This window comes from Homo sapiens, chromosome 20, assembly GCF_000001405.40.
Source record: "Homo sapiens chromosome 20, GRCh38.p14 Primary Assembly".
Taxonomy (NCBI): Eukaryota; Metazoa; Chordata; class Mammalia; order Primates; family Hominidae; genus Homo; species Homo sapiens.
Genome location: NC_000020.11, coordinates 43728644 through 43751338, shown reverse-complemented (window position 1 = coordinate 43751338; position 22695 = coordinate 43728644). Strand labels below are relative to the sequence as shown.

At 48.1% G+C, this 22695-nt stretch overlaps 1 long non-coding RNA gene across 1 annotated transcript in view, besides 2 other annotated features; it reads right to left on the bottom strand.

Moving 5' to 3' along the window:
* The window catches only part of LOC101927200 (uncharacterized), a 91977-nt gene extending 69557 nt beyond the window's left edge, over positions 1–22420 (bottom strand). The window contains exon 1 of the long non-coding RNA XR_936741.3: positions 22212–22420. This is a non-coding gene — a long non-coding RNA (uncharacterized LOC101927200). The remainder of the gene's footprint in view (positions 1–22211) is intronic.
* Positions 1316–1475: a silencer, noted in NCBI's record as "silent region_12930". NCBI's record gives its function as "represses an Ori minimal core promoter by ATAC-STARR-seq in GM12878 lymphoblastoid cells {active_cell/tissue: GM12878}" and the evidence as "EXISTENCE:reporter gene assay evidence [ECO:0000049][PMID:35858748]".
* Positions 4851–5670: an enhancer, noted in NCBI's record as "H3K4me1 hESC enhancer chr20:42374309-42375128 (GRCh37/hg19 assembly coordinates)". NCBI's record gives its function as "activates a minimal SCP1, AML or CMV promoter by ChIP-STARR-seq in primed H9 embryonic stem cells {active_cell/tissue: H9 hESC(primed)}" and the evidence as "EXISTENCE:reporter gene assay evidence [ECO:0000049][PMID:30033119]".
* Positions 22421–22695: the final 275 nt, after the last annotated feature.

Here is a 22695-nt window from a genome sequence, read left to right as displayed (position 1 = left end):
TCAACAAGACAGCGATGCCAACGGTAATGTTCACTGTGGTTAAACACACTTCTCAGCTGGTCCCTGCAGGTGGCCAAGACAGCTCTGGTCCCCGCAGTTGCCCAGTGCTTCCCCACAGCTCTCTAACCAGGCTGTACCCTCTGCCCAGATCCACCCCCACCCCCAATATTGACACCAACTGTGTACCAGGCACTACATTAGATGCTTTGGGCTCATCATTACATGTTATCCTCTTTGCAAGATAGATGGTTCTCTTGTTGCCCCATTTGAAGATGGGAAATTTGAGAACCTGAGGGTACTGGTCCTTGTCTACTGCCCACACCCCAGGTCTAGCCAGTCCCTCTCTTCCTTCCTGCTCCAACCACACTCTTCTGCCAAGGCAGTGAGCTCATTTCCACCTCAGGGCCTTTGCACATGAGTTTCCTCTGTCTGAAACACTCTTCCCTCTGACTCCACCTGGTTCACTCCTTCTCACCCTCAGATCTCAATTCAAGCATAATTTCCTAAGGGAAGAATCCTTCACATCCTCAGGTTCCTAGAGCTCTTTTCATCCACACAGCACCCTATGAATCCCTCCTCCTTCAAGGCAGCTCCTATAAATTGTAATTTTATTTTAAATTTTTTGTAAAGATGGGGTCTTGCTATATCGCCCAGGCTGGTCTTGAACTCCTGGCCTCAAGCAACCCTCCCACCTTGGCCTCCCAAAGTGTTGCAATTACAAGTGTGAGCCACTGCGCTCAGCCTAACATGTAATTTTATATTTGAGGGATTATTTGCTGCTATCTGGCTCCTCCACACAGGCATGAATTCTAGGAGGGCAGGGACGCTGTCTGTGTTGCTCACCACTATATCTCCACACACAGAAGGGACACATGGTAAGGGTTTAGTTATCATATATTTATGGATGATGGATGGATGGGTGGTCAAATGGAGGGTGCGTAGATGCAAAATGCTTAACGAAGAATTTGCCACCCATCCAAGTAAGAGGTGGGCCCAAATGCAAGCCCAGGCTTCCGACCGGCAATCCCTCTCGGTGTGTGTGATAATCCTCCGCACACACACACACATCACCCCCAAACTCTGACCCTGGGAGACAGTGCCCACCTCCCTGGAGCAGTGTTCTCAAAACTCCCCTGACCAGCACCCCACTGTCCAAACCCCCTAGCTCCCACGCCACACACCTGGAGCTTCAGGGATGCTGATTCTGTAGGTCCAGGAAGGCCCCAAACTCTACACTGTTAACAAGCACCCAGGTAATTTAGAAGGGAGTGTGTCCCAGAGCTCGTTTGAGGATCTCTGGACTAAGATGAGTCCAGGCAAACCCGAATCCCCAGGGAGAGCCGCCCAGCGCCACCCCAGCCGCCCGCGTGGGAAGTGGCCGGGAGCCGCAAGCCGGGGCCGTGCTGCCCTCTGGTGGTGCATAGCGGCACTGCAGCCTCTGGGCTCCCTGAAGGAACACCGGCCGCCGGCGCCCCAAGGGCTGTGGTGTCCCGGTGGCCCACGTCGGCCTAGGTCAGCGCACCTGGATTCCAGTCCCTGACCCTCCAGAGACCTCCCCAAGACTTTTTTTTTCTTCATAAATGGAAGATAATCAACGTTTCCCAAACTTCAGTTCTTTGGGTACCACCTTCATCATCTTGCCCATCTCATTTATACATGCTATTCTTTACTTAATTTTTCTCTGAATTGCCGGGTGTGGTGGTGGCTGTCTCCTGTAGTCCCAGCTATTCAGAAGGCTGAGGCAGGAGGATGGATCGCTTGAGCCCAAGAGTTGGAGGCTGCAGGGAGCTATGATCACCCACTGCACTTCAACTTGGGCAACAGAGCGAGACCCTGTCTCAAAAAAAAATTTTTAATAAACGTATTTATGTATTATAATTCATGTTAAGAGAGAAATGAATACCCACAGTAAACAGAGGTGGATTTCACTTGCCATAAATGGTGGGCTGGGGGAGAGGAGGGGACATGGTGGGGAGGGGATGAAAACAAAACCAGGATTACCAAGATTTTCATAAATAAAAAGACTGTCATTTTACAAACAAAACAAACAAGGGCTTTCCTAAGTGGTGAAACTATAAAGAACAGCAAAGAAATTAGCGTTATAAAAATTAGGATAGCCAGGCACAGTGGCTCACGCCTGTAAATCCCAGCACTTTGGGAGGCCGAGGTGGGCGGATCACTTGAGGTCAGAATATTGAGACCTGCCTGACCAACATGGTGAAACCCTGTCTCTACTAAAAATACAAAAATTAGCCCAGTGTAGTGGTGCACGCCTGTAGTCCCAGCTACTCGGGAGGCTGAGGCAGAAGAATCGCTTGAACCCGGGAGGCAGAGGTTACAGTGAGCTGAGACTGTGCCACTGCACTCCAGCCTGGGCGGCAGAGAGAGACTCCATCTCAAAAAAAAAAAAAAAAAAGATAGTGCTTTTCTCTGGGGATCAGGAGGCTGTCATGGGAAGAGATGGTGGGGGCCCCAGGGAACCCAGTTCTCCTTCTTTGTGTAGGATATTTTTACAGTCCTGTGTTAACCTGCACATATGAGCTTTATGCATTTTTTCCTGCATTTTATGTGTCACAATAAAACATGTTATAGAAACAAAAAGTAACCAGTGAAATACAAGTAATTTACAAAGGCACACATGAAAACAGGAGAGATGAGGCTAGGCGCAGTGGCTCACGCCTATAATCCCAACACTTTGGGAGGTCAAGGCAAGAGGATTGGTTGAGCCCAGAAATCTGAGACCAGCCTGAGCAACATAGCAACATCTTGTCTCTACAAAATATCATTTAAAAATTAGCCAGGCATGGTGGCATGCATCTGTAGTCCCAGCTACTCAGGAGGGTTGCTTAAGGCAGGAGGATTGCTTAAGCTCAGGAGTTTGAGGCTGTAGTTAGCTATGATTGCACCACTGCACTCCTGCCTGGGCAACAGAGTAAGACTCTGTTTCTTAAAATAAAAGAGGGGGTGACACTGAGCAGCAGGTCAGGGGTGACACAGCTGCTCAGGGGACAGTTTCAGGGGTTAAATATCCCAGAAACAGAGTGACCATCCAGGGGGTCCTGTGTGAGAGGCAGCTCCAGGCAGCAGCCCTCCCCCCACCCCCACGCTCCTTTCTTCTTCCCTACCCTCCCCTGAGCTCCCTGTATGGAAGCTCAAAGCTCAGAGTGGATTTCTGGAGGCCAGGATGGTGGGGTGAAAACAGCAGGAACCCACTCTTGGGGGACTATGAGCACCCCAATCACCAGGCGGGTGGGGAAAATTGAGCCCCTTTCAGTTCAGTTATGAGTCCCAGAGACATTCATGGCTATTTACTGCTAGCATCCGTTCTGATTCGTTGATGCCTGTGCCATTCAGTTGTCAAATATGTTTATGATCAGCCCCGCTAAGATGCATTAAAACACATGTGTATTAGTCCATTCTCACACTGCTATAAAGAACTACCTGAGACTGGGTAATTTATAAAGAAAAGAGGTTTAGGCCAGGCGTAGTGGCTCACGCCTGTAATCTCAGCACTTTAGGGGGCCGACGTGGGCGGATCACCTGAGCTCGGGAGTTCCAGACCAGCCTGACCAACATGGAGAAACCCTGTCTCTACTAAAAATAAAAAAAAATAAAAATAAATTAGCCAGGCGTGGTGGCGCATGCCTGTAATCCCAGCTACTCGGGAGGCTGACGCAGGAGAATCACTTGAACCCGAGAGGCGGAGGTTGCAGTGACCCCAGATTGTGCCATTGCACTCCAGCCTGGGCAACAAGAGCGAAACTCTGTCTAAAAAAAAAAAAAAAAGAAAGAAAGAAAGACAGAAAAGAGGTTTAATTGACTCACAGTTGCCCAGACTGTACAGGAAGCATGGCTGAAAGGCCTCAGGAAACTTACAATCATGGCAGAAGGCAGAGGGGAAGCAGGCACATCTTCACAATGGCAGAGCCGGAGAGAGAGCGCATGAAGGGGGAAGTGCCGCACACTTTTAAACCATCAGATCGCATGAGCACTCACTCCCTACCACGAGAACGCAAGGGGGAAATCCACGTCCACGATCCAACCACCTCCCACTAGAGCCCTCCTCCAATTTGACATGAGATTTGGGCAGGGACACAAACCCAAACCATATCAATATGTAATTACTGAAATTAAAACTGTCCACCAAAACACCATGAAATGTCACTCACATACCTCCAGTGGGGCACAGTGGGGCACGCAGTGCATTTTAGGACGTGGTAGGCATTACCTGGCCCTGCACAGGGCGACTCTAAGAACTAAACGGGCACTCCACAAGTGCTGAGCCCCACACAAAGTGTTAACGTGGTTAACACGACAGCCTTCCAGGAAGCTGGGAGCTGGGATATCCCCAGCACGGAGGACAATGCTGAAACAGACCCACAGGGCGCAGGGGCTCCCATGGGAACTCACAAGTGCTCTGCAGTTTGCCTGTCTCTCCTGCCTAAACAAGGAGCAGCTGGGGAAACTCAGGCTTGGCCAAAGCACCAACCATTCCCTCTCTCCCTCCACCACCTCCCCACCTTTTTTTTTTCCCTTCATTTTTCTCCTCTGTCTTCCAAGGAATTCAGAGTGCAGGTCTCACTATGAGTTCCCAGGCGAACCCACCTCTCCCGACTTCCTAAACTGTGAAAGGAAAATAAAACTTGGGACTCCAATTCACTCTACCCAAAGGAAAAAAATTAAGCTGAAAGCTGAGTCATGCAAGAAAACGCCTTCCCTTTTGTGCCTAAGCAGATAGGTAGAGATAAAAGGCCAGATATCTCCAATTACTCTGGTTCACCTTATCTTACTTAAAGTGCCAATTTACTGAGTGCTAGATGAATACATAATTGACGAGTCCCCCATCTACTCCTTTTCTCTTGCAACATGTGAATTCAGTAATATGACCACACCCTCCCTCGTTTCCCTCCAGCCTGCTTTTCCCCTTTAAGTACTGACACCCTCAAAATCATCTTTGTAGAAAGGCACAGACTGTTTCTGTGATTCTGTGTTCTGTTCTTCTGGGCATGTCCTTAACTTCGGCAAAATAAACTTCTCAATTGATTGAGGCCTGTCTCAAATACTTTTAGGTTTACAAAGCCCACTCCCATTTTTACTAAATGTGTGTCCACACATTTGGGAACAAAAGACACTGGGGACTCTAAAAGCAAGGAGGAGTCGGGCACGGTGGTGACTCTCGACTGTAATCCCAGCACTTTGGGAGGCCAAGGCAGGTGGATCACCTGAGGTCACTTCAAGACCAGCCTGGCCAGCGTGATGAAACCTCATCTCTACTAAAAATACAAAACTTAGCCGGGAGTGGTGGTCACGCCTGTAGTCCCAGCTACTCCGGAGGCTGAAGCACAAGAATCGCTTGAACCCAGGAGGCGGAGGTTGCAGTGGGCTGAGACCGTGCCACTGCACTCCAGCCTGGGAGACAGAGCAAGACCCTGTCTCCAAAATAAATAAAAAGCAAGGAGGGAAGGAGAGGGGCAGGGGTTGAAAAATTACCTATCGGGTCCTATGTTCGCTGTTTGGGTATTAACAGAAGCCCAAACCCATATCACACAATATATACCCACGGAACAAACCTGCCCACACACCCCCCCCGAATCTAAAATTAAGAACATTAAAATAAATCAATATGTGTCCACACACAGAGAGGCAGCCTGGAAGACTAGACGCCAACACATTCTTTTCTTCTTCATACAATGTTTGCATTTTCCGACTTCTTTTTACAACAAAGTCTGAAAATGAGAAGCGACCACGCAGCTGTGTGTGCAGGCAATAAAGCACGGTGTTGAGCAGGAAGCCCTCCTATGAGAAGAAGGAAGTCAGGGGCTGAGTCCTCATGGTGCCCTTCAATTGCTAAATGACCTTAGGCAAGTCCTTACCCTGTCTGGGCTTCAGTTTCCCCATCTGTTCTTTAACTCAAGCCCCCCTCCACCCATCTTTCCACCCTGCCGTGGGCCCTGGAAGGTTGGCCCCTGTGGACTGCATCACCCACACATCGTTGCTGGCTGGCTTCCAGGTTTCGGATGCTGGGAGGAGAGAGAGAAGTAGGGATATTTCTTCCTGCTTCCTTCCTTCTTCAGGTCTCATTCTGGGCAGTGGCTTAGTCCCTCAACCCCAGCTCTTGCTGGGTGGTTCTACTTTCTGTCTCCAGCTGTCAATGGACTTCAACAGCATAATCCCCTACCCCACCCCGGCAGGCTTCCCCTTGCTGCTGGTGCCTGGGAGCCTCTGCAGCCTTGGTTGGGGCTCTTTGCCCCGCCCACCTCTCCATAATAGTCCATGAAATCCATCTGAGTAGGATTCTGTTCTTCGCTGGAACTTCAAGCAATACAAGGAATGAGTAAAAATACTCGTATAAATACTATGGAATGAGTATAAATTTCCCAGACTATATCTTCAGGGATAAAAACCTATTACTTTCTCTATTTCTGCATATTTAATTTATCTGAGTTTTTGATTTTTTTTTTTTTTTTGGTCACTCTGTTGCCCAGGCTGAAGCGCAGTGGTGTGATCTCAGCTAACTGCAACCTCTGCCTCCCAGGTTCAAGTGATTCTCCTGTCTCAGCCTCCCGAGTAGCTGGGACTACAGGCACGAGCCACCGCTCCCAGCTAATTTTTGTATTTTTAGTAGAGACAGGGTTTCACCATGTTGGCCAGGCTGGTCTCAAACTCCTGACCTCAAGTGACCCACCCACCTTGGCCTCCCAAAGTGCTGGAATTACAGGCATGAGCCATCGCCCCGGCTTATCTGAGCTTTTAAGCTCCCATTTCCACTGAAGGTGGGAAACAGTTGCAAACATGAAGTACAGCAGCCACTTCACTCCACTGTTCTTTAGGTAAACACTCACTGAATTCAGATTTCAGACACGCATCCGGCATGCATACACACACACACACACACACACACACACTCCACCCAGAGGTGGTGCAGCTGGTGTGGGGAGGGGCTTACCTACCACTCCAGCATCTGGGGTGAGTCGCCTGGCTGGGAGGGTTCCTCGCTGACCTCGCTGGAGTCTGAGTCACCCCAGTCCCCACTGCCTCTGCAGAGGTGACTATAGGTCTGCCATGGTCCCTGATCACCCATTCCTGGGAGCCTGAGCCCCCCCAGGACAGTCATCCACCCCAGCTACGTGCACGCTCTCTCCAGGGGTGTGAGAACTCTAATCTGCTCCCTCACACTGTGCAGGATCCCAGATCCCCAGGAGGCTGTCCTGAGGCCACTGCATTCCAACACCTCCCTTTGCCACTGCTGCTCCACCAAAGTGGGCTTCTCTGTGAGTCTTCCGGGATCCCTACAACCTTAACATGGGTTTCTATCCTCTGAGGGATGGGGTGCTGGACTCATTCTTGGGGACCCAGTAACTCCTATCCCTAACCACACCTCCTCCATCTGCTCTTTTCCGAATCATCTCCTTTTGGGCAAGGGAACATTCTTCACTGTCACTCATTCTTCCCCACCCTGTGCTTCACGGTGTAAGTCACAAGCTCTGGGTCCCCATGGCTTTGTGTGTGCTGTGCCAAGCCAAGCTTAGGAAACTAAAAACACAGAAAACCTGCTGCAGCCTCCGCCTTCCGCGTACAAGCCATTCTCCTGCCTCAGCCTCCTGAGTAGCTGTGACTATAGGCGCACGCCACCATTCCAGGCTAGTTTTTGTATTTTTAGTAAGAGATGGGGTTTTGCCATGTTGGCCAGGCTGCTCTCGAACTCCTGACCTCAGGTGATCCACCCATCTCGGCCTCCCAAATGGCCGTGGTGAGCCACCATGCCCGGCAACACTCTAAAATTTGACTCTCATTTCACAGGCTTCTCTGGGGTCCTCCCTTCCCTGGGATCTAAGCCTTGAGATCTACTTTTAATAATAGTGATGACCTTCAGTGGCTCTTCCAGCTGTGATCAGCTCTAAATCATTCATTTATTCAAAACAAATACTTCTTGAGCACCTGCTATGCACCAGGTGCTGTGCTGGGCACTGGAGATACAGCAATGAATTGAAAAAGACAAGGTGCATGCTTCTGGGGACTGATAGTCTACTGGGGGAGGCAGGCATTCATCAGAAAATAGAAAGAAATAAATGTAAAATGACAGTTGTCATATAATGCTATGAAGGAAAGGCATGTGAGGCTACGAGGGTAAAGAATAGAGGAATTTAATTGAGTCAGAGAGTTCAGGGGAGGCTGAGCTCCAAAGGCCAGGCAGGAGCTTCTGCACGTAAAGAAAGAAGACAACAGAAAGCAGGAGATGCCAAGGCCATGTGGTGGCAGAGAGCACGGAGCCCAGGAGTGGCCAGGATGGGCCAGTGTGGCTGGTGTGCAGAGAGGATAGGAAGGAAGCGCATGCCAGGTATGGCCAGGTATGGCAGCCCTCGGAGGGTGCAGAGCCTTGTGGGCACCTGAAGGATCCTGACTAGATCTTAGTGTAGAGGAAGCAGAATGGGGACAGCCTGCCTGCATTTCTAGACCTTCCCTCAGGGTCAGGTCTAGAAGACAGAGACCAGAAGGGAGTTGGGAGACTAGTTAGTAGACTACTGCCTTAGACTAGGCGAGACATAATAGCCAATAGGACTAGAACAGTTGTGATGAGGATGAAGAGAACTGGATTGATTCAAAAGCTGTTCAGAAGTTAAGAGTAACAGGACTTGGTGATTGATTAGACATGGGGGAGGTGGAAAAGAAAGGAATCACAACTTCTGGTTTGCAGGACTGAATGGAAGTGGATGGGTGATGTCAGCAGAGGAAATGGGTGATGGTTAATTTTATTCATCAACTTGACTGGGCCACAGGGTACCCAGATTAAACACTGTTCCTGGGTATGCCTGTGAGAGTGTTTCTGGCTGAGATGAGCATTTGAATCAGTGAACTTGGTAAAGGAGGTGGCCCTCCCTAATGCGGATGGGCACCATCCAATCCACTGAGGGCCTGAACAGAACAAAAGGCAGAGGAAGGAGGAATTTGTCCCTTTTTTCCTAACTCACCGCTTGAGCTGAGACATTTCTCATCTTCTCCTGTCCTCCAACCAGGATTTATATCATCATCTCCCCTGCTTCTCAGGCCTTTGGACTTGAACTGAATTCTACCATCAGCTTTCCTAGGTCTCCAGTTTACAGATGGCAAATCATGGGACTTCTCAGCCTCCATAATCACATGAGCCAATTCCTCATTTTTCCTATCCTGTTCATTCTGTTTCTCTGGAGAACCCTGACTAGTACAGATGGAGACTCTAAAACAGGACCAGGTTAGGGCAGGAAGGTCAGTTTTAGATTGGTTTGGAGAAGGTTAAGTATGAGGTATCCATGAGATGTCCAATGTGGATTCACAGGCTTGCACTATGCAGATGGTTTAGACCTCCAGATGCATACTGGTGAGTTATCTACATCTAGACAATAAGAGAGAAGAGAAAACTAAGCTCACAGGACTCCAGCATTTGATGGCCTAGCAGCAGAGAATAAGATTGAGGAATCCAAACAGCAAATTCAGAAATAGGGAAGAAACAGTACAGAGAAAATAAAAGCCAACAATGAAAATGCAAAAATACAGGGCTGACCACAAATAATGAGGCATGCAACCTATTGCATATGTCCAAAATAAATATTAAAGCTGAAGATACACAATATGTTAAAATAATTGTTTATTAATGACCAGGTTAGGGTAGGAAGGTCATAACCATCTGGTTCTGAAAATCCCAAATAATTTCCCCAAGTGTGAAGTATATGAAAAGGGCCAGCTATGGTGGCTCACGCCTATAATCCCAGCACTTTGGGAGGCCGAGGCAGGTGTATCACTTGAGGTTAGGAGTTCAAGACCAGCCTGGCCAACATGGTGAAATCCCGTCTCTACTAAAAATACCAAAAAAATTAGCCAGGCATGGTGGTGCACACCTGTAATCCCAGCTACTCAGGTGGCTGAGGCAGGAAAATCGCTTGAACCCAGGAGGCGGAGGTTGCAGTGAGCCAAGATCATGCCACTGCACTCCAGCCTGGGCAACGAAGGGAGACTCCGTCTCAAAAAAAACAAAAAAGAAAAAGAAAGAAATACATGAAAGGAAGTAAAAGAAGAATGGCATGGGGAATCATATCTTAGACTGGACATGAGATAATGGTCAATAGTACTGGAGTAGTAGTGATGAGGATAAATTGGATAGATCCAAAAACTGTTCAGAAGTTAAGAGTTGCAGGACTTGATAATGGATTTGACATGGGGAAGGAGGAAAAGAAAGGAATCAAAACTCCTGGTTTGCAGGAGTGAATGGAAGTAGATGAGTGATGTCGTCAACCAATGAGATGGTATTCTGGTTATTTTTATTCTTGCCATTTGATATGTAAACAAAATGGTCTCAATATTTTTCTATTTAAAATAACTTCTGATATAATAAAGGATGTGTAACTTCTAAGACACCAAAGAAAACTAATTCAAGAAAACATGGCTCACTAAAAACAAAAAGCATAACAAGATAACAGAATTAAGACCACGGGTAACAGCCGTCATAATAAATGTGCATGAGTTAAATTCATCTAAAATGCTTAGGTTGAATCAAAAAGCAAAATCTAAACTACAGATTGTTAGACCTCAAAGAAGTGAGATGTTTAGTGTTTTGTTTTTGGCTTGGTGGTTATGTTTGTTTTTTTTCAGTGACAGGGCCTTGCTAGGCTGCCCAGGCTGGACTTGAACTCTTGGTTTCAAGCAATCCTCCCGCCTCAGCCTCCTGAGTGGCTTCAACTACAGGCACATGACACCACGCCTAGCCAAAGTGAGGTTTTAATGATATATGATGGCAGCTCGCTGGAGGGAATACCCAAGTCCTACCCTGCCCATTAACCTTCCTCATGAAGTTCCAAGGAACAGATTCTCAAAAGAAACAAAAGAAAACGGAAAACGTGTTTCCACATTATTATAATGACGTTGCAGACCTAACCAGAGGCTCCATGGAAACCCAAATCTGGATCTGACGGCCAGCTGTTCCAGAGAACCCCTTAGAATAGTTCTTAGAGTACATGGGTTGCCAGATTCAGCAAATAAAAATAGAAGACGCCTAGTTAAATTTGAATTTCACACAAACACTAAACTTTTTCTTTTTCTTTTCTTTTTTTTTTTTTTTTGAGACGTAGTTTCGCTCTTGTTGTCCAGGCTGGAGTGCAATGACGTGGTCTCAGCTCACTGCAACCTCTGCCTCCTGGGTTCAAGCGATTCTCCTGCCTCAGCCTCCAGAGTAGTTGGGATTGCAGGCACCCATTAACCTTCCTCATGAAGTTCCAAGGAACAGATTCTCAAAAGAAACAAAAGAAAATGGAAAACACGCCCAGCTAATTTTTGTATTTTTAGGAGAGACGGGGTGTCAACATGTTAGTCAGGCTAGTCTTGAATTCCTGACCTCAGGTGATCCACCCATCTCGGCCTCCCAAAGTGCTGGGATTACAGGCGTGAGCCACCACATCCAGCCTAAACTTTTTTTAAATATAAATATGTCCCAAGCAATATTTGGGACATTGTGCTAAAGAAAACTATTCATTGTTTATCTGAAATTTAACTTGGCCTCCTGGATCGCATGTAGCAACCCAGCACACCATAACAGGTGTGTTAGAAAATAAGAGCCAAGAAAGGGGCAGATGGCCCCCTCCCAGACCCAGGAGGAGCAAAGTAAAAGAGGGAGCGACCCTCCCACCAGGAAAAGTGGGTTCCTCAATCTGGAATACCAGGTCAGCAGCTCCTCCTGGAGAGAAGACAGAGTGAGAGCAAAGGGCAGAGCTTTCCCTCCCCATACACAAATAGCTTGTTTACAAAAAGCCCAGGGCCAATGAAATGCTACATAAAGGTTAAAAGCAAAGGGATTTCCAGATGACTGACTCTGGGATCCATTTAACTGCTCCCTGCCAAATGCTTGCTAAAATGGTCAAAGGAAAAACACAGGAAAATCTATATTCACATGTAAACCAGCGAGGAGGCCAGACACATGCTAGAAGCCCTTGAGGTGAACTGGAACATAAGGCGGACCCCGCAGAGTGAGGAACCGGCCCAGTGCTGTGTCTGGTGGAATTGGCCCACACCGACTCACTCACATTTCCACAAGGCTGAAAGACCAGGATAGCTGAAACAATAGGGCTAGAATTTACTTCTCAATTCAATCAGCTTCACTTTTGCTAAATGCGTAGTCTAGGAAAAGATTGCCCTGAGCACGGCAGTGTTTAATACGATCTTCTAGTCAGTCTTCAGTTTACAGATGAGAAGCCTGCACTGGAGGGGCACTGGTTTGTTCAAAGCCACCAGTCTATTAGGTTTTGAATCCAATTCTCCTTACCCTCTGCAGCAGTGTGGCCCTCACCAGGGGAGAGGGGCCGGGAGGGGCTGGCAAGGGCTGGCAGGGGGTCCTGTCCTCTGTCTGGGATGTGTTCTCCTGCCCTGGTCTTTCAGAGGGGATCCTCCTGTTGTGCTTGAGAATGGTGGTTGCTGTGTGCTTGGGTTCCTGTACAGTCCAGCTGTGCTTAGACCATGGCTTTGTGTGGGTGGGCTTCTATAAACCACCTCTCTGGGCAGATTTCTCTAATCTCTGCTTTTTTATTTTTATTTATTTTTATTTTTTGAGACAAGTTCTAGTTCTATTGCCCAGGCTGCAGTGTAGTAGCACAATCACAGCTCACTGCAGCCTCAACCTCCTGGGCTCAAGCAATTCTCCCACCTCGGCCTCCATAGTAGGTGGGACCACAGGCGTGTACCACCACACCTGGCTAATTTTTTCATTTTTTGTAGAGACGGAGGCTTACTATGTTGCCCAGGCTAGTCTCAAACTCCTGGGCTCAAGTGATCCACCCACCTTACCCTTCCAAAGTGCTGGGATTATAGGCATGAGCCACCACTCCAGGCTAATCTCTGCCTCCTTAGCCCCCTAACCAGGCCCCCTGCCTTTCTTGCTGCTCTTAAAACCACAGGCCCCAGAGACAGAAAATAAGATGGAAACCTGTCCACATCACTTCCTTACTTGAAGCCTTCCTCAGCAACCCGTCACTTCAGCACCCAGCAAGGATGCCCTCAGGTCTGAACTCCATGTGCATTTCCACCCCTCCCCTGCCAGCCCACTTTGTAGGGGACATCTCATATATAGTCCCCAGCCCAGCCGCTCTTACTGCCTCGGTGCTTTGCTCATGCTGGTCCACCTGCCAGGAACACCCTTCCTACAGCCTGTTGGTTCCTGCTTATCCTCCAGGCCAGCTCAGTCTTTATCTGAAAGACAGCAGCCAGCTGTCCCCTCATCCTTGCACTCACTGTATCCTGATCAGAAGGATGTCTGTCTGTCTTCCCACCAGAGATCTTTGACCCACAAGGTCAACACCGTAAACGCCTGAGCTCACCTGAACCTGATGTCACGAAAAGTGCAAGAGTAAGCCGGGTGCGATGGTTCATGCCTATAATCCCAGCACTTTGGGAGGCTGAGATGGGGAGATCACCTGAGGTTGGCAGTTGGAGACCAGCCAGACCAACATGGCTGTATTAGTCTGTTTTCATGCTGCTGAATCACTTGAACCCGGGAGGCAGAGGTTGCAGTGAGCTGAGATCTTGCCACTGCACTCCAGCCTAGGTGACAGAGCAAGACTCCATCTCAAAAAAAAAAAAAAAAAAAAAGGGCGCAAGAGTATTTTAGTTTGGCAGGCTTGGGCTGCACCCCCAACTCTGTCACTTGCTACAGGTCTATCTCGAGGAGTGTTACTTTACCTGTTTTCCTCGCCTGTTGACTGCTGTTAAACCACTGGTAGCTTGAAATTGGCCATGGTGGGAATATTGACAACATGGAAATTGGCAGATGCTACAAATGGATGCTTTTTTTAAAATGCTGGCTGTTTAAGCATTTGTGGGACTGACTACCCCGTAAGTCACCAAGTAAGAAGACATGAATCTCTAAGTTGGAGGGACCCATGGCACAAGTGGCCTGCACCCCACCTGTATCCCTGTGACTTTTCAGTGTGCTCTGGCCAGCTTCCACTTCCAGCCTCTGCAACTAGAAATGAGGCTCTTGCTCCCAGAACTGCCCATGCCTGACAGGATGGAACTGCCAAAGACCTTATGATGCAGGGCAGGCAAGCCCCAAAGTGGAGCTCAGTCCACAAGGGTTCTTGGCTTTGCCCAGGAAAGAATTCAAGGGCCAGAGGTAAAAGAAAACAGCTTTATTGAAAAGACGGTGTTATAGCTCTGTGACTGTTCCTGCACAGCAGGGCTACCCCATTGGCAGAGAGTAGCTGCTCAGGGCACTTTTGCAATCGTATTTACACATAGTTTTAATTGCATGCAGATAAAGGGGCAGTTTATGCAGAAATTTCTAAGGAAAGGGTGGTAACTTTGAGGTCATTGCTTTGAAAAGGGGTGGTAACCCTGGGTGTTGCCATGGCAACAGTAAACTGACTTAACACACTGGTGGCTGTGTCAGATTGAAAGCTGCCTTCACCCCAGCCCTGTTTTAGCTAGTCCTCAATCTAGACCAGTGTTTGAGCCCCACCTCTGGAGTCAAGTCTCACCTCCTATCTCACAACCCCAGAAATAGCTTTTAACAAATGACTCTCTTGAGGGTTGGGGTGTAAATGCCCCAGCTCCCCCACCCCTTGGGTGGGGTAGTTCTGAGTTGAGTGTTTTGTATCACTTCCCACAGTTTCCCCTAAAGGCCTCAGATGCCCACTGAAGTAGACAGCTGAATCACGTGGGGGATTTTTCACACTTTGACCTTTGAAAGTCTTTACTAGTTTCCATGCTTTTCTAAATATAATTTTTGCTTGATTTTTCTTGTTACAGAAAAATATGCCCATTAAAACTTTAGAAAATACAAAAAAAGGCTGGGTGCAGTGGCTCACGCCTGTAATCCCAACACTTTGGGAGGCCGAGGGGATCGGATCACCTGAGGTTGGGAGTTTGAGACCAGCCTGACCAACATGGAGAAACCCCGTCTCTACTAAAAATACAAAAAAGTAGCCAGGTGTGGTGGCACATGCCTGTAATCCCAACTACTCGGGAGGCTGAGGCAGGAGAATCGCTGGAACCTGGGAGGTGGAGGTTGCAGTGAGCCGAGATCACGCCATTGCACTCCAACCTGGGCAACAAGAGTAGAACTCTGTCTCAAAAAAAAAAAAAGAAAAAAAGAAAAGAAAAGAAAATACAAAAAATTGTTATAATTTTTGACTCTTATTAGTTTTAAATATTGGTATGTGAGTACATCTATAAATGTATCTTCCTTACTCTTTCTCCACAGCCTTACCTGCACTTCCCGAATGAACTACTTATATCTGAAATCTCATCTTAGGGTCTACTTCTGGAAGAACTCTAGCATAATACCAGTAGAACTCCACAAAACTGAAAAGCTCAAAGCAGCAGGTGGCAGAGAAGCAAATGCCACCAGGTATCACTGAGGACTAAAGCTCAGCGCTGATGTTGCCCCTGCTGAAGGGGCAGGAGGGCTGGCCCATCCCATGGTGCCACAGGCTGTGGCCACATCTCACGCCCTCCTGCGCTGATGTTGGAATGAGGTGTGGGTTGTTCCTGAGGTCCAGCTAACTTTGGGCTGCTACAACAAAGAGAAAAACCCTTGGGCGCATCAGTAAAGTCACTACACAGCTTCACTCCTTGGTTGGGTCCCTCGATAACCAAGTCTCCAAGAGCAAAAGGACAGAGAATCCAGCCTGAACTGAGACAGCCTCAGCATCAGACAGAAGCCACACGGACACACTCCACTCCAGCAGAGAAGCAGCTCAGCACTCACAGATAGGCCCAGAGATGAAAAGGAAGAGGTCAACTGGGCACTGTGGCTCATGCCTGTAATCCCAGCTACTCAAGAGGCTAAGGCAGAAGCCAAGAGTTCAAGACTAGCCTGGGCAACATGTGAGACCTTGTCTCTAAAACAAATTTTAAAATCTTAGCCAGGTGTGGTGGCAGGAGGATTGGTTGAGCCCAGGAGTTCCAGGCTACAGTGAGATACGGTTGCACCACTGCACTCTAACCTAGGTGACTAAGCAAGACCCCCGTCTCTAATTTTTTAAAAAAAGGAGGAAGTTGGCCGGGCACGGTGGCTTATGCCTGTAATCCCAGCACTTTGGGAAGCCAAAGCGGGCAGATCACAAGGTCAGGAGTTTGAGACCAGCCTGGCTAACATGGTGAAACCCCATCTCTACTAATGATACAAAAAATTAGCTGGGCATGATGGTGCATGCCTGTAATCTCAGGTACTCGGGAAGCTGAGGCAGGTGAATCACTTGAACCCGGGAGGCAGAGGTTGCAGTGAGCTGAGATCAAGCCATTGCACTCCAGCCCGGGCGACAGGGCAAGACTCTGTCTCAAAAAAAAAGGAAGAGTTTGGCCAGGCACAGTGTCATGCTTGGAATCCCAGCACTTTGGGAGGCCAAGGCAGGTGGATCACCTGAGGTCAGGAGTTCGAGACCAGCCTGGCCAACATGGTGAAACCCCATCTCTACTAAAAATACAAAAATTAGCTGGGTATGGTGGTGGGCACCTGTAAACCCAGTTACTCGGGAGGGTGAGGAAGGAGAATCGCTTGAACCCGGGAGGCAGAGGCTGTAGTGAGCCGAGATTGCACCACTGCACTCTAGCCTTGGTGAGGCAGAGTGAGGTTATACCTGAGAAATGAGTACTGATGACCCTTAACAAATAGTTACTCCCCAAGAAATACGAGAAAACCTTAAAACAGAGTTTTCTCAACTAGTTCCACAGGAAACTAGCTGGTAGAGGTAGCAACAGGTGCTAAAGAGAAAAGGCTGCACCTGGGAGACACTGAGTGAAGCAAAGGTTCATGGTTGGCTTTTCCTTAGGCCTTCTTGGATCTGTGCTGATGTCCACTGAGATTCCCCAGGAGAAGGTACAGTGTGACAATCCCCAGAGCAGCTTGTAGGACTCACATTCCAAGCAATGCCAGCGTGGAAAAACAAGCATCATTTAATAAATAGGTATAAACAGGGAAGACATTTAATTCAAACATCTGTAAGGAAGTGACCAAAACTGATGACATTTTAGGCCACCAAGAACACCTCACAGGCACTAACAAGCCATCGTTTTCTCAGGCCACATTATCTATCCACCGTGCAATAAAAACAGAAATTAAAAACAAAAGGATAGACAACAACAACAAAAAAATGAAATCACTTGGAAATTTATGCCTAAATAACTTGAATCAAAGAAAGGAACAAAACTGCAGTTATGGGCCATTCAGAACGTCATGACAATTGGAACTCCACGTAGCCATACTTAGGGAATGAAACCGAAGTACGCCCCATAGCTGCAAATGTTTCTGTTATTCAACAAGGAAGACTGAAGGCAAATGAAGCATCCAACTTAAGGAGCTAGAAAATAAGCAACACGATAAACCCAGGGAGAGAAGCAGAAATACAGATAAAAACTAATGAAATAGAAAACATAAAAATCCATAGAACTGATAAATCAAAGACTTGGTTTCTTGTAAACAGCTGTAGGACACCCAGCCTTGTGGAAGCCCAATAAAGGGAGGGGTCACACGGCCAGGCGCGGTGGCTCATGCTTGTAATGCCAGCACTTTGGGAGGCCGAGGCAGGTGGATCACCTGAGGTCAGGACTTTGAAACCAGCCTGGCCAACATGGCGAAACCCCATGTGTACTAAAAATACAAAAGTCAGCCAGGCGTGGTGGCAGGCGCCTGTAATCCCAGCTACTCGAGAGGCTGAGATGGGAGAATTGCTTGAATCCAGGAAGTGGAGGTTGCAGTGAGCCGAGATCGCACCACTGCACTCCAGCCTGGGTGACAGAGCAAGACTCCGACTCAAAAAAAAAGGTTGTGGGGTGGGCAGGGGGAGGAAGTAGGAAGCAAGTGAGCGAGAGAGAACACAGAAACACAGTAGAGAAGTCAAGGAAATGTAATCAAAGACACAGAGGAGAGGTTTCAAATTAGAAGAGTATTAAATGCATGCAGTGTGCTAGTCAGCTGGGAGAGTTCAGTGGAGAACACGTGTCTTCCTCAGCTCGGGCTGCCCTAAGGAAATACTACAGACTGGGTGGCTTAAACAACAGAAATTTCTTTCTCACAGTTCTGGAGGCTGCAAGTCCAAGATCAAGGTGCCAGCAGGGCAAGGTAAGGCCTTTCTTCTTGGCTTGCTGATATCAGCCTTTTTTGCTCTGTGCACACCTGGCCTTTCCTCTGTGCAGGAGTAGAGAGAGCTCTAGTGTCTCCTCCTCGTCTCCTAGGGACACCAGTCCTATCAGATCAGGGCCTCATCCTTATGACCTCATTTAAGCTTAATTGCATCCTTCAAGGCCCTATCTCCAAAATCAGTCACATTGAGGGTTAAGGCTTGTGAAAGGAAAAATAAATCTTGGGACCCCAAAATCACTAAGCTAAAGGGAAAAGTCAAGCTGGGAACTGGTCAGGGCAAATCTGCCTCTCATTCTATTCAAAGTCTTCCCTCTGCTCACTGAGATAAATGCCTATCTGATTGCTTCCTTTGGAAAGACTAATCCGAAATGCAGAAGAATGCAACTGTTTGTCTTTTATCTGCCTATGACCTGGAAGCCCCCTCCCTACCTTTGTTGTTGTCCTGCCTTTGTTTCCAGTTGTCCCGCCTTTCTGGATGGAATTAATGTACATCTTACATATACTGATTGATGTCTCATGTCTCCCTAAAATGTATAAAACCAAGCTGAGCCCCGACCACCTTGGGCACATGTCGTCAGGACCTCCTGAGGCTGTGTCACGGGGGCATCCTTAATTTTGGCAAAAGGAACTTTCTAAATCGACTGAGACCTGTCTCAGATATTTGGGGGTCACAGGCTTCAACATATGAATTTGAGAGGGATGCAATTCAGTCCATAACAGCACACTTTTCTAGAAAAATGAGAATTGCCAAGAGAAGTAAAAAACCAGGGAATCAACTTTAAAACTGACAGAGGACTATTTCCCAACAGGGTGTGGGTCAGAGAGTTTAGCAGACAAGTTCTCTCAGACTTTCAAAGAATGTTTGTAGGCTGTTTAAGCCATCCAGAAAACAAAAAAGAGAATGTGCTCTGATTCAGTTTACAAATCTAGCATAGCTGTGACATGGAACCCGACAAAGACAACCAAACGTCACCCAGTCAGGCATTTTAACCAGAACCCAAGCGATTCCTGGCCACATTATAGTTTGAGAAATGCTACATGGTGCTACACTCATTGTCACTACATGAAGAGAGTTTTCTAAATAAGGTCCTTGAGTCAAAGGAGTTGGCAGGTGCCCAGACGGCTGAGACCAGAGAAGCCCTTGGGCAAGGGGTGGCCCACAGAGGTGGTCAGCATGGAGAAGCCCTGAGCCAGAGCCCAAAAGCCCATGGGGGCTACCTATGCTGTCCACACCTGTCTCCTGGACATGGCAGGGAGACTCAAGGAGCCAGAAATGGAGTGGCCACCCATACTAACGCCACATACACACAGCTTGAGTTTAGCATGCTTAGGATCTCCTTTAACCTGCAGGAGGTGCCTGGGGCAGAGGGCACAGTGTTGACACTAACTGCTACAGGGTATGAGGAGGCGGTCAGCTCGGTGTGCAACCTAACAATTGAACTGTCTGGAGAGGTAGTGAGCTCCCCATCGCTGTCTGACCATCCTCCAGGGATGCTCTGGGGGGCATGCCGGCCCTGGGAGAGAAGCTGGCCTGCATGACGTCAGACTCTCTCCTCGCCTGGAGACTTCAGATTCATGATGACTAATCCTCCGATGGCTGCATCCCACCCCATAATGATAATTGCTGACTCAGCTAACCAGGACATGCCATTTCTCATTTTCAGAAAACACTGTTTCTGCACACTCTGTGACCTCCTCTCCATGCCTGTGTTACCATCTGTTGGCAGCATCTCTCAGGATGAAGATCAGCAGGGAGGGGAGTGAGAGGAAAGCAGGTCCGATCTTATTTGCAGCGCTGGTCACACATGCACAGACAGGGTTGAAAAGTTTCACACAGACAGATGTGTGTGCATCCCTAGCTCCTCTTGGGTTGCCATGGTGAGCAACCTCTCAGGTCCCAGGCTCAGAGCAGGTGCCAGGAGGAGGCTGCAGGCTTGAGGACCATTCAAGATGTCCATTAGAAGCACAAACAGCCGGGCGCGGTGGCTCACGCCTGTAATCCCAGCACTTTGGGAGACCGAGGCAGGCGAATCACGAGGTCAGGAGTTCGAGACCAGACTGGCCAACATGGTGAAACCCCATCTCTACTAAAAATACAAAAAATTAGCAGGGCATAGTGGCGGGCACCTGTAATCCCAGCTACTCAGGAGGCTGAGACAGGAGAATTGCTTGAACCCGGGAGGCAGAGGTTGCAGTAAGCCGAGATCACACCACTGCACTCCAGCCCGGGCAACAGAGTGAGACTCCATCTCAAAAAAAAAAAGAAGAAGCACAAACAACCCCAGCCTTCCCTCTCTCCATAATGGACTGAATCTCAGCCTGCCACACTAATAGGTGCGTGGTCACAAAGAAACCTGCAACAGCAATGTCTTACTCCTCATTATGTGGATTTCAATGACGGATACAGTGCTTTCATTGTGATCTCCATATGCAGAATTTAAAAGCCTCTCTCAGCCAGGCACATGTAACCTAGGCTTTGGAAACCCTCGCAAATAATTTTTCAAGGACAATAAACCACAAACGATCAAAGACAACCAGAATTACAGAAGCCTGAAGACTCCAGCCTGGGCCACCTCTGGTCGGAAGCATGAAAAAGACTATGGCACTAGGGATTAAAAAGTCACTGTCAGCCGGGCATGGTGGCTCACGCCTGTAATTCCCAGACCTTTGGGAGGCCAAAGTGGGAGGATCACTTGAGCACAGGAGTTCAAGACTAGCCTGAGCAACATAGAGAGACTATATCTCTACAACAAATAAAAAAATCAGCCGAGTGTCATGGCTGGCCCCTGTAAGTCCCAGCAATCCGGAAGCTGAGGTGGGAGGATCACTTGAGCTCAGGAGTTTGAGATGGAGTGAGACTAAATCTTGCCACTGCACTCCAGCCTGGGTGACAGAGAGGGACTGTATCCCAAAAAGAAAAAAAGAAGATTGCTATCAGCATCATTGGCAGACACTGCACCAGGCTTGGGGGTGTGGAAGAGCAGATGCTGAACTCCCTGTTAACTCCCAGTAAGGACAACACTATAGTTCCTTTTAAAAAATATTATTTTAGGCCAGGCATGGTAGCTCACGCTTGTAATCCCAGCACTTTGGGAGGCCGAGGTGGGCGGACCACAAGGTCAGGAGATGGAGACCATCCTGGCTAACACGGTGAAACCCCATCTCTACTAAAAATACAAAAAATTAGCCGGGCGTGGTGGCAGGCGCCTGTAGTCTCAGCTACTCGGGAGGCTGAGGCAGGAGAATGGCGTGAACCCAGGAGGCAGAGCTTGCAGTGAGCGGAGATCGCACCACGGAACTCCAGCCCGGGCGACAGTGCGAGACTCCGTCTCAAAAAAAAATTATTTTAATATATTTTTTGAGACAGGGTCTCACTCTGCTGCCCAGGCTGGAGTGCAGTAACACAATTTAGGCTCACTGCAGCCTCAACTTCCCAAGCGATCCTCCCACCTCATCCTCCCGAGTAGCTGGAACTAGAGGCACGCACCACCACAGCAGGCTAATTTTTGTATTTTTTGTAGAGATACGGTTTTGCCATGTTGCCCAGGCTGGTCTCGAACTGCTGGGCTCAAGCAATCCGCCCACCTCAGCCTCCCAAAGTGCTGGGATTATAGGAGTGAGCCACTGCACCCGACCATATTTCCTTTAATAGTGGGCTGTAGGCTTGAAGAAAATGGGCTCTGTGTTACATGCATGATATGGAAGGTACAGTTTACCAAGGACACTCAGCAGAGCAAACCAGGAGCTATCCCTAGGGTGAGTGGGTTGGGGTACAGGGAACACAACTTCTTGGCCTCATACTCCTCATAGGAGCCAGCTTGGTTTGAGGCACTAGAATTCCACTGGTCTGGGGTAAGAGCCAGATCTCAAGATCTCAAGAAGCCCCAGGAGAGCACTGAGTAAGCCATTGATCCCCCACTCTGAGCTAGGACTTTGGGTTTTCTTCCATGGGGAAGAATATGCTCCGTGTGTGTGGAGAAAAGAGAAATGAATGCTGGTGACGAGAAGGGCAGACTGGGGAAGCCCTCAGGACTTCCCAAAGTTCCTATTCTCCTCCTTCTGGGCATGTGGAAAGACCGTACCTCCTTGCTCTTTGAAGTTAGGTAGGACTTACTTTGAACCATGAAACAGTAGCGGAAGTGATGTTTATCATTTCCTGGTGGAAGCTCGCGCATGACTCCCCACATCCTCTTCCTTCTTCTAGAAGGAAGCAAGTGTTGCTATGGAGGCTCCATCAGCCTGGCTCCATTAACCACAAGGAGCAGATCCCCAATACCCCTCCCCAACCCAGAAACCTGCTTTAGACTTGAAAGTGACTCATAAGCCTTCGTTGTTTTAAGCTACTGAAGTTTTGGCACTGTACGTTATTGCAGCCTAACCTTGCCTATCCTGACTGGCACACCCAGAATAAATGGTGTAGTTATGAAAGATGCCTTTTTTTAGAATCCTTTGTCTAATCTTTTGTCTATACCTGGGTTCCCATTACAATTTCTTACTATGACATCAGTGAGTGTCATGTTGCTAAATTGTCTGCATGTCATATGATAGTAACAAGACATCCCACATGTATGATCAGTTGCAATTATGTAACAATGTAG